The 12,200-nt window shown below is 41.9% G+C and overlaps 1 protein-coding gene and 1 long non-coding RNA gene across 8 annotated transcripts in view; one reads left to right on the plus strand and one right to left on the minus strand.

Moving 5' to 3' along the window:
* JAKMIP2-AS1 (JAKMIP2 antisense RNA 1) overlaps nt 1-8,942 on the plus strand; it is a 102,016-nt gene extending 93,074 nt beyond the window's left edge. Inside the window, exon 4 of the long non-coding RNA NR_038902.1 lies at nt 7,386-8,942. This is a non-coding gene — a long non-coding RNA (JAKMIP2 antisense RNA 1). The remainder of the gene's footprint in view (nt 1-7,385) is intronic.
* JAKMIP2 (janus kinase and microtubule interacting protein 2) overlaps nt 1-12,200 on the minus strand; it is a 197,291-nt gene that overhangs the window by 67,630 nt on the left and 117,461 nt on the right. For all 7 annotated transcript variants that reach the window (NM_001282282.2, XM_047417951.1, NM_001270934.2 and 4 more), the window contains one exon: nt 7,881-8,378. In NM_001282282.2, the coding sequence (NP_001269211.1) occupies nt 7,881-8,378 (498 nt within the window). The remainder of the gene's footprint in view (nt 1-7,880; nt 8,379-12,200) is intronic.

Here is a 12,200-nt window from a genome sequence, read left to right on the forward strand (position 1 = left end):
ATGGTGCACATGTACTGCATTTTCCTTATTCAGTCTATATAATTGATGGGCATTTGGGTTGGTTCCATGTCTTTGCTATTGTAAATAATGCTGCAATAAACATACGTGTGAATGTGCCTTTTAGTAGAATGATTTATATTCCTTTGGATGTATAACCAGTAATGGGATTGCTAGGTCAAAACGTATTTCTGGTTCTAGATCCCTGAGGAATAACCACCCTGTCCTCAACAATGGTTGGACCAATCTACATTCCCACCAACAGTGCAAAAAGTGTTCCTATTTCTCCACAGACTCACCAGCACCTACTGTTGCTTGACTTTTTAATAATTGCCATTCTGACTAGTGTGGGATGGTATCTAATTGTGGTTTTGATTTGCATTTCTCAAATAATCAGAGATGATGAGCTTTTTTTTTTCATGTTTGTTGGCCGCATAAATGTCTTCTTTTGAGAAATGTCTGTTTATATACCTTGCCCACTTTTTGGTGGAGTTGTTTGCTTTTTCTTGTAAATTTGTTTAAGTTCCTTATAGATTCTGGATATTACACCTTTGTCAGAAGGGTAGATTGCAAAATTTTCTCCCATTCTGTAGGTTGTCTGTTCACTCTGATGCGAGTTTCTTTTGCTGTGCAGAAGCCCTTTAGTTTAATTGGATCCCATTTGTCAATTTTGGCAATTGTTGCAATTACTTTTGGCGTTTTCATCATGAAGTCTTTGCCCATGCCTATGTCCTGAATGGTACTGCCTAGGTTTACTTTTAAGGTTTGTATGGTTTTGGGTTTTACATTTAAGTCTTTAATCCATCTTGAGTTAATTTTTGTATAAGGTGTAAGGAAGGGATCCAGTTTCAGTTTTCTGCATATGCCTAGCCAGTTTTCCCAGCACCATGTATTAAGTAGGGAATCCTTTCCTCATTGCTTGTTTTTGTCAGGTTTGTCGAAGATCAGGTGGTTGTAGATGTGTGGTGTTATTTCTGAGGCCTCTGTTCTGTTCCATTGGTCTATATATCTGTTTTGGTACCAGTACTATGCTGTTTTGGTTACTGTAGCCTTGTAGTAGAGTTTGAAGTCAGGTAGTGTGATGCCTCCAGCTCTGCTCTTTTTGCTTAGGACTGTGTTGGCTATATGGGCTCTTTTTGGTTCCATATGAAATTTAAAGTAGTTTTTTTTTTTTAATTCTGTGAAGAATGTCAATGGTAGTTTGATGGGAATAGTGTTGATCTATAAATTACTTTTGTCAGTATGGACATTTTCATGATGATGATTCTTCCTATCCATGAGGATGGAATGTTTTTCCACTTGTTTATGTCCTCTCTTATTTCCTTGAGCAGTGGTTTGTAGCTCCCCTTGAAGAGGTCCCTAATGTCCCTTGTAAGCTGTATTCCTAGGTATTTTATTCTCTTTGTAGCAATTGTGAATGGGAGTTTATTCATGATTTGGCTCTCTGCTTGTCTATTGTTGGTGTATAGGAAAGTTTGTGATTTTTGCACATTGCTTTTGTATCCTGAGACTTTGCTGAAGTTGCTTATCAGCTTAAGGAGTTTTGGGCTGAGATCATGGGGAATTCTAAATACAGAATCACGTCATCTGCAAACAGAGATAATTTGACTTCCTCTCTTCCTATCTGAATACGCTTGATTTCTTTCTCTTGCCTGATTACCCTGGCCAGAGCTTCCAATGCTATGTTGACTAGGAGTGGTGAGAGAGGGCATCCTTGTCTTGTGCTGGTTTTCAAAGGGAATTCTTCCAGTTTTTTCCATTCAGTATGATATTGGCTATGGGTTTGTCATAAATAACTCTTATTATTTTGAGGTTTGTTCCACCAATACTGAGAATTTTTAACCTGAAGGGATGTTGAATTTTATTGAAGGCCTTTTCTGCATCTATTGAGATAATCATGTGGTTTTGGTCATTGGTTCTGTTTATGTGATGGATTACATTTATTGATTTGCATACATTGAACCATCCTTGCATCCCAGGGATGAAGCTGACTTGATCATGGTGGATAAGCTTTTTGATGTGCTGCTGGATTTGGTTTGTCAGTATTTTATTGAGAATTTTCACATCGATGTTCATCAGGGATATTGGCCTGAAGTTTTCTTTTTTTGTTGTCTCTCCTAGGTTTTGGTATCAGGATGATGCTGGCCCCATAAAATGAGTTAGGGAGGAGTCCCTCCTTTTAAATTGTTTGGAATAGTTTCAGAAGGAATGGTACCAGCTCCTCTTCGTACCTCTGGTAGAATTCAGCTATGAATCTGTCTGGTCCTGGGCTTTTTTTGTTGGTAGGCTATTAATTACTGCCTCTATTTCAGAACTTGTCATTGGTCTATTCAGGGATTTGACTTCTTCCTGGTTTAGTCTTGGGAGGGTGTAAGTGTCCAGGAATTCATCCATTTCTTCTAGATTTTCTAGTTTATTTGTGTAGAGGCATTTATAGTATTCTCTGATGGTAGTTTGTACTGCTATGGAGTTAGTGGTGATAGCTCTTTTATCATTTTTTATTGTGTCTATTTGGTGTGCTCTTTTTTTCTTTATTAGTCTAGTTAGTGGTCTGTTTTGTTAATTTTTTAAAAAATCCAGCTCCTGGATTCATTGATTTTTTGAAGGGTGTTTTGTGTTTTTATCTGCTTCAGTTCTGCTCTGATCTTAGCTATTTCTTGTCTTCTGCTAGCTTTTGGATTTGTTTGCTCTTTCTTCTCTAGTTCTTTTAATTGTGATGTTAGGGTGTTGATTTTAGATTTTTCCATCTTTCTGATGTGGGCATTTAGTGCTATAAATTTCCCTCTAAACATTGCTTTATCTGTATCCCAGAGATTCTGGTACATTGTCTCTCTGTTCTCATTGTTTTCAAAGAACTTCTTGATTTCTGCCTTAATTTTGTTATTTACCCAGTAGTCATTCAGGAGCAGGTTGTTTGATTTCCATGTAGTTGTGTGGTTTTGAATAAGTTTCTTAATCCTGAGTTCTAATTTCATTGCACTGTGGTCTGAGAGACTGTGTGTTGTGATTTCAGTTCTTTTGCATTTGCTGAGGAGTGTTTTACTTCCAATTATGTGGTTGATTTTAGAATAAGTGCCATGTGGCATGAGAATAATGTGTATTATGTTGATCTGGAATAGAGAGTTCTGTTCTATTAGGTACACTTGATCCAGAGCTGAGTTGAAGTCCTGAATACCCTTGTTATTTTTCTATCACATTGATCTGTCTAATGTTGACAGTGGGGTGTTAGCCTCCCACTATTACTCTGTAGGAGTCTAAGTCTCTTTGTAGGTCTCTAAGAACTTGTTTTATGAATCTGGGTGCTCCTATATTGGGTGCATATATTTTTAGGTTAGTTAGCTCTTCTTGTTGAATTGATCCCTTTACCATTATGTAATGCCCTTCTTTGTCTTTTTGATCTTTGTTGGTTTAAAGTCTGTTTTATCAGAGACTAGGATTGCAACCTCTGCTTTTTTTTGCTTTCCATTTGCTTGGCAAATTTTCCTCTGTCCCTTTATTTTGAGCTTACATGTGTCTTTGCATGTGAGATGGGTCTCCTGAATACAGCACGCTGATGGGTCTTCACTTTTTATCCAATTTGCTAGTCTGTGTCTTTTAACTGGGACATTTAGCCCATTTACATTTAAGGTTAATATTGTTATATGTGAATTTGATCCTGTCATCATGATGCTAGCTGGTTATTTTGCACACTAATTGATGCAGTTTCTTCATAGTGTCATTGGTCTTTATATTTTGGTGTGTTTTTGCAGTGGCAAGTACTGGTTTTTTCTTTCTATATTTAGTGCTTCCTTCAGGAGCTCTTGCAAAGCAGGCCTGGTGGTGATAAAATATTTGCTTGTCTGGAAAGGATTTCATTTCTCCTTCACTTATGAGGCTTAGTTTGGCTGGATATGAAATTCTGGGTTGAAAATTATTTTCTTTAAGAATGTTGATGGCTGGGCACTGTGGCTCACACCTGTAATCCCAGCACTTTGGGAGGCCGAGGCGGGTGGATCACAAGGTCAGGAGATCGAGACCATCCTGGCTAACATGGTGAAACCTCATCTCTACTAAAAATACAAAAAAATTGGCCGGGCATGGTGGCGGGCGCCTGTAGTCCCGGCTATTCGGGAGGCTGAGGCAGGGGAATGGCATGAACCCGGGAGGCGGAGCTTGCAGTGAGCCGAGATCGCGCCACTGCACTCCAGCCTGGGTGACAGAGCGAGACTCCGTCTCAAACAAAACAAAACAAAACAAACAAACAAAAAGAATGTTGACTATTGGCCCCTACTCTCTTCTGGCTTGTAGGGTTTCTGTTGAGAGATCCGCTGGTAGTCTGATGGGCTTCCCTTTTTAGGTGACCTGGCCTTTCTCTCTGGTTACCCTTAACATTTTTTCTTTCATTTTGACCTTGGAAAATCTAATGATTATGTGTCTTGGGGTTGATCTTCTAATGGAGTATCTTAGTGGTGTTCTCTGTATTTCCTGGATTTGAACGTTGGCCTGTCTTGCTAGGTTGGAGAAGTTCTCCTGCATAATATCCTCAAGTGTATTTTCCAACTTGATTCCATTCTCCCCATCTCTTTCAGGTATTCCAGTCAATTGTAGGTTCGGTGTTTTAACATAGTCCCATATTTCTTGGAGGCTCTGTTCATTCCTTTTCATTCTTTTTTCTCTAATCTTGTCTGCATGCCTTATTTCAGCAAGATGGTTTTCAAATTCTGATCTCCTTTCTTCTGCTTGGTCGATTTGGCTATCGATACTTGTGTATGCTTCACGAAGTTCTCGTGCAGTGTTCTTCACCTCTATCAGGTCATTTATGTTCCTCTCTAAACTGGTTATTCTAGTTAGCGGTTCCTGTAACCTTTTATCAAGGTTCTTAGCTTCCTTGCATTGGGTTAGAACATGCTCCTTTAGCTCACAGGTGTTTGTTATTTACTGACCTTCTGAAGCCTACTTCTGTCAACTTGTCCATCTCATCCTCCATCCAGTTCTGTGCCCTTGCTGGACAGTTGTTGTGAACGTTTGGAGGAGAAGAGGCATTCTGGCTTTTGCGATTTTCGGTGTTTTTTCCTCATCTTTGTGGATTTCTCTACCTTTGATCTTTGAGGCTGATGACCTTTGGATGGGGTTTTTGTGGGAGGGTCTTTTGTTGATGTTGTTGTTGCTGCTTTTTTAGTTTTGTTTGTTGTTGTTTGCTAGTTTTTCTTCAAACAGTCAGGCCTTTCTTCTGCAGGTCTGCTGGAGTTTGCTGGAGGTCTATTCCAGACCCTTATTGCCTAGATATCACCAGTGGAGACTGCAGAACAGCAAAGATTGCTGCCTGCTCTTTCCTCTGGAAGCTTCATCTTAGAGGGGCACTGGCCTGATGCCAGCCAGAGCTCTCCTGTATGAGGTGTCTGTTGGCCCCTGCTGGGAGGTCTCTCCCAGTCAGGAGGCACAGCGGTCAGGAACCCACTTGAGGAGGCAGTCTGTCCCTTAGCAGAGCTGGTGCGCTGTGCTGGGAGAATCTCCCTTGTCAGGATCAGCCAGTATCTTCAGAGCCAGCAGGCAGGAAAGATTAAATCCGCTGAAGCTGCTACCACAGCCGCCCCTCCCCTCAAGTGCTGTGTCCCAGGGAGATGAGAGTTCTGTCTGTAAGCCCCTGAATGGAGCTGCTGGATTTCCTGCAGAGAGACCTTGCCTAGTGAGGAGGACTCTAGAGAAGCAGTCTGACCACAGCCGCTTTGCTGTGCTGTGGTGAATTCGGCCCAGTCCAAAAATCTCCCAGTCGCCTTAGCACAGTCAGGGGAAAACCACCAACTAAAGCCACAGTAATGACGGTCACTCCTCCCCCCACCAAACTCAATCATCTCAGGCTGACTCTAGACTGCTGTGCTGGCAGTGAGAATTTCAAGCAAGTGTTTCTTATCTTGCTGGGTTCCATGGGAGCATGGGAGTGGGACTGGGACCCGCTTGTGAGACTGCTTGGATCCCTGGCTTCAGCCCCCTTTCCAGGAGATTGGACGGTGGTCCTGACTCATTGGAGTTCCAGGCATCGCTGGAGTATGAAAAAAAAAAAAAATCCTGCAGCTCAGTGCCTGCTCAAACAGCTGCCCAGATTTGTGCTTGAAACCCAGGGCCCTGGTGGTGTAGGCTCATGAGGGAATGTGCTGATCCGTGGATTGCAAGTGTCCATGGGAAAAGCGTAGTACCTTGGGCAGGTAGCACAGTCTGTCACTGCTTCCCTTTGCTGGAGGAAGGAGGTCACCTGGCTGCGTGCACTTCCCACATGAAGCGACGCCCCACCCTGCTTCTGCTGGTTCTCTGTGGGTCACACCCACTGCCAAACCAGTCCCAGTGAGATGAACTGGATACCTCGATTGGAAAAGCAGAAATCACCTGCCTTCTGCGTTGGTCTCGCTGGGAGCTGCAGACCTGAGCTGTTTCCATTCGGCCATCTTGGCCCCTCCCCTTCACGTTGTTATTAAAAGGGATTTCATGCCTACTTCAGCAATATGCCGGTGAAAGGAAGTCGTGCAAAAATTAGCAGATCAAGTGGATATACTTATAGATTTTATATTGAAAACCATCAACAAATGAAAATATTTAATGCAAAGCTGCCTTTTCATTGAATATTTACCTGCCAGCTCCAGAGTTCGAAGTCCTGATTCTTTCTTCATCAGTCACTGTCGTTTCAAAAACCAAAGGCAGGGCAGAGACCGATATTTCTGCACTGTGTTTGGTCTTTATTGTCAAACAGTGCAATAGAATGAGTTGACATAAAGAATTCAGAAAATGTGGCAATGGCAATATTTTACAGTTACACTCTATTGCAGTATAAAGAAAAATAAACATTAACTTTTAAAAATGCTCTATGGTAACCACCTTGAACTTAAAATTAAAAGCCTAGAGATATCACCCGAGGAACATAATTAGAATTCTCAGAAAGTAATTGCTTAGAACTAGAAGACAAAAAAGGAAAAGTGTAGTTTTTCCTAAAAAAAGCCTTATTTCCGGAGAAGCATAAAGTACATTCTAACAGGCGATAGTTGATGTGATAACATTAAAGTAAGATGTAACAGATGCTAAACATCCGAATGCAGATGAATATAAAATTTTTTGGTCTAAAATAATTAAACAAGGTCAACCTAGGACATTCTAATTTTCAGATGATAATTATATTTGTATTATATTTAAGCATAGTGAGAGGCCTACCTGGTTTTTGGTCAAACATGTTAGAAGGAAAGACCAACTCTGTAGGGGCTGAGGTAAGTCTTGGAAACTATAAATAGCAAACAACCTACTTAGGGATGACATCCAATTTAAAAATTATAATGGCTCCTGTTTTAAATGACTCCTGTATACTTTGGGAAAAATATCTATGTTTAAAATGACTAGGGATTTTATCATTTTGTATCTTTTTTCAGTCATGGTTTCTGGAAGAAAAGACTCAAGATGTTCTCAGTAGCTGCTGTTTTCAGACATCATGAAAGTCTTCTCCTACCCTCTATAAAAACAAACAATAAAACTCTACAAAGGAAAAGCCCACAAAAACATGCTGACTTTAGAAGAATCCATGATTTAGAATATTTTTATAAATATCTAAGAAAACAGGAGTCCTTTCCATATATATGGTCCTTGGAGATACTTTCCATATATATGGTCCTTGGAGAATCCAGTTTTTATGAGAAAGGTGATTTCCAAAATCTCTTACACTTTACAATTTCAATTTTGGCCTGAGCATATCTCTCGATTGATCTACCTACCTACATACTGATCTATCTTGGATAGAGCACTGGACAAAAGGTAGGCACTGTTTACAATCCACTGACAAGAAAACACATGAAGAAGCAAACCCCACAGCGCTCTGAAACCTGGAAGAGATGGGTTCTACATGGGTCTGATGGGATTACTGTACTAACCAGCCTCCGAATATCCCGCTCCGACTCCCACTTGATCTTCGAGATGGCTTCTTGGTGGGACTGATGCTCACTCCGAAGGTCCCCAGCCTTGATTTTATCTGCTTGGATCATATTGCTCAGAGCCTCGTCCACCTGCTTCTTGGCCGTTTTCAGGTCCGCAATTTCCTGTAAGAGCTTAAGGCGCTCTGTGTCAAACAGTTTCCGGGCCTCCTCCCGGGCCTCAATGGTGAGCGCTGTCCTTACTTTGTCACTGCTGCCGTCGCGGAGAGCACAGAGAGCAGACTTGAGCCTCTGGATCTCTCCATCACGTACCTTCACCGTCCTTGACATTTCCTGCTCGTGCTGCTTGATAAGGTTCTCCCTCACAGCCTGCAGCTCCTTCATCTTCTCCTCATGGAGCTTGGCTTTGAGTTCTGTCACCAGCACCGTGTGCTTGCGCTGCTCCAGCTCACGAATCCTCTTCGCTTCTTGAGTCTTCTCTCTTTCAAGCTTTGATACCTAAAAACAGAGAGGCGAAATGATGAAGAGAAATGAGCCTCAAAGGACGGGTGTGCTCCTAGGCAGGATTTGCAGCTCAGGCCGCTGTGATCTCTTAATTCCTCATCTCTTTTCCAATTCCAGGCCCTCTGAGAAAAAAGAACTACAGGCCTTGAAGCTGGGAATACAGTGTGTAAGAGGAGGAAATACCTGAGGATATTTATATTACTTTGTTCAGATGAATATTTGATGTTCTGGGGCCTTACTATGCAATGTGTGGTCTGCAGACAAGCAGCCTCGGTATCACCCAGGAAGCATGTTAGAAGCACAGAATCCCTGGCTTAGCCCCAGATCTATGACTCAGAATTTGCATCTTAACAAATCCCCATGTGATTGGTATACGCCTTAAAATTAGAAAGTATCGCTATCATGGTTTTTCCCTTTACGGGGAGGACTGCAAAACAGATCGCCTGGAGAGCTTTTTAGACTACACAACCCTAGCTAGATCCAAACTGATAAATGTGTGTCTTAGAATAGCTCACAGTTTGATATTGTGATAAGGCTAATAAATTAGTGCCTCAAGTGATATTATTGAGCATCCGTCTCCCTCTTTTCTTTTCTTTTTTTTTTTTTGAAGAGATGCTGCTGCTGCCAAGGAGGTGAAAAATGAAGACAGTTGATAATAGCCTCAACCTTACCTTTCTTAGTATGGCAGGTTAGTTTCATCCCCAAGTTTTACACACACACACACACACACACACAAACAAAAAACCACCACCAACAACAAAACTGCAGATCATTGGGTCCTCTCTCTGATGAAGGACTTTAGTGACCATTGTTATTTCTGAATGTGCCATGAATGTCTCTTTGAGTCCCTTTTCACTCTCACTCCTCCTTCTCCCTTCCTGCCCCACAAGCCAACACTCCAAGTAGTTTGATAAAATATTTCGAATAAGCTTTTTACCTCTCAGGAATTCCGGTTTAAAACTATTCTATGTTTTGCTAAATTTCCTGTGATAATATAGGCCTCCTTGTAGATTAGCAATGGCACTACCTATTGATCTAATCTGGCTGTGAGTCTCTGATTCAGTAGATCAGGTGGGGCCCAGACATTTGTGTCTCGAAAAAGCCTCTCCGTGATCCTGTTATGCTGTCCTCCTCCCCCACTTCATCTCTGCTGCTTGGCTCTGTCTCTGTCTTCTCTCTCTGTCTCTCTCTGTGATACACACAACCCCCGCATGCACACACACACATACACAGAGTAACCTAGAAAAAGGGGGCCGGGTGCAGTGCCTCATGTCTGTAATCCCAGCACTTTGGGAGGCCGAGGCGGATGGATCACCTGAGGTCAGGAGATCGAGACTAGCCTGGCCAACATGGTGAAACCCCGTCTCTATTAAAAATACAAAAATTGGCTGGGCGTGGTGGCAGGCACCTGTAGTCCCAGATACTTGGGAAGGCTGAGGCAGGAGAATCTCTTGAACCCAGGAGGCAGAGGTTGCAGTGAGCCAAGATTGCACCATTGCACTCCAGCCTGGGAGACAGAGTGAGATTCTGTCTCAAAAAAGAAGAAAAAAAAAAGAAGAGAAAAGGAAGAAAATTGGGGAGTCCCAGGAGTAATAGCTAGTTGAGTGATATCGAGTCTCCACCATCTGTAAAATTGGAAGGTTTTACAAAATAATAGTTAAGAACCTTTCCAGTTGAAAAATCTTAAGATTGAGACTCCATATTTTAACCACTGTAATATAAAGTGTCTGTGATGGCTAATACTGAGTGTCAACTTGATTGGATTGAAAGATGAAAAGTATTGTTTCTGAGTGTGTTTGTGAGGGTGTTGCTAAAGGAGATTAACATTTGAGTCAGTGGACTGGGAAAGGCAGACCCACCATCAGTCTAGGTGGGCACATTCTAATCAGCTGCCAGGGAAGCCAGAATAAAGGCAGGGAGAAGAAGGTGAAAAGACTAGACTCACTTAGCCTCTCAGCCTACATCTTTCTCTTGTGCTGGATGCCTCCTGCCCTTGGATATCAGACTCCAAGTTCTTCAGCTTTGGGACTTGAACTGGCTTCCTTGCTCCTCAGCTTGCAGACAGCCTATTGTGGGACCTTATGATTGTGTGAGTCAATACTCGTTAATAAACCTCCTTTTATAGATACATCTATCCTATTAGTTCTGTCCCTCTAGAGAACCCTAATATACAGTGTCTGAGATTTTACTCACCTTAATAGTTAACCTACCTTTAGCTAGAACAGTATTTTCTAAGTTTGCATAGTATTTTGTGAACAGTTTATTTTTAAAGGCGCAGCAATTATTCCCATGATGGTTATTCTAAAAGAGCTTGGGGCACAAGGGGATTTGGTGAAATAAGCAGCCAGATATCCTCAAATAACCATCCTCTGATCTCACCTCCAGCTTACACCTACGGTCCCTTCCTGGAGGCCTCTTCTTTCTTAGGCTCTAGACTTGTGCTTGTCCTATGTGGCATCCGCTAGTTACCATACTGCAAATTTGAAGTGAGATTTTCTCTCCATGTAAAATATACTCTGGATTTCGAAGACTTAGTGCGAGGTAAAGAATGTAAAATATCTCCTTTATCGTTTTTATATTGCTTACATATTGAAACTATAATGTTTTGGATAAATTATTCTAAACGATATTATTACAACTGATTCTGTTTCTTTTTACTGTTTAAAATTGCAGCTAGCAAGAAATTTTAAATTCACAGATATGGCTTGCATTTGGGATTCACATTATATTTCTCTTGGACAGTGTTGCTCTGGAGTTCTTAAAGGTTCATTTGGTGAACCTAGCTTTTCCCACACTCCTGGTGATATTCTCTTAGTAAAGCTCAGTTCTGGTTTTCCTTACGTATCTGCTCAAAACCACCCAGGCTCTTTTATGTTGTGGAATAAAATCTCAACAGCCCAGCTTCACCTTTCAGGCTCTCAGGAAGGTTTGGTTGGATTTCCAGCTCCTGCTTCTCCCTCTCTGTCTCCTCACCTGTCCCGTGCTCTAGGTGGGGGGGATTATGCTATTTTCTGCACATGCCTGCATCTCGTACCCAGATGCCACAGTTTCTTCTTCCTGACTTATTCTTCCATCAGCTCCTTTTGGGATCCTCACATTCCTCATGGCCTGGCTAGAGGTCATCCTCTCCTGTCATGCCACCCTACTCACCCAGGACAAAGCTCATTTCTCCTACCTTTGTCTTCTCAGTATACTTTTGAAACACCTCCTTAGTAGCGGTTTTCACAGTTTTCTTTGCATTTTTTTGCCCACTTGTCTGTCCTCATCACCTCCTCTTCTACCCTACCGCAGGCTGGTAACTTTTAGAAAGTTGCCAATGAGCCATCCTCATCTCTGTGTACCCAGTGGCTCCCAGAACAATATATAAGAAACCAGGTGGCATGTGTAGAACTAAGGATGTATGCTGTTATATCTCTCTGGCTAGGCCCCTAGCCAGAGGCAAGAATAATATTTTCTGTCATACAGTTTAGAGAATACAGGCTTGCAGGGTTACCAGATCAGCCCCTCCTCAACCCCTTCCCAGTATAAAATGACAACAAAACAAAACCCTAACATATAAGAATTCACTTCCCTCTGCTAGGTGTTTCTCTTGGTGCTTCAATAAGGACAATCTAGATCTTACTCTCCATCTTTCTAGAGTGAATGGAAGTGGGCATCTTCTAGATTGGGGTGGGCAAACTACCACCCATGAGCCAAATCCATCCTGCTCCTGTTTTTATAAATAAAGTTTATTGGGACACAGCCATGCCCATTCATTTACATATTGCTTAAGGCTGCTTTCATGCTACAATGGAGTTGAGTAGTTTCACAGAGACT

This window comes from Homo sapiens, chromosome 5 (assembly GCF_000001405.40).
Source record: "Homo sapiens chromosome 5, GRCh38.p14 Primary Assembly".
Taxonomy (NCBI): Eukaryota; Metazoa; Chordata; class Mammalia; order Primates; family Hominidae; genus Homo; species Homo sapiens.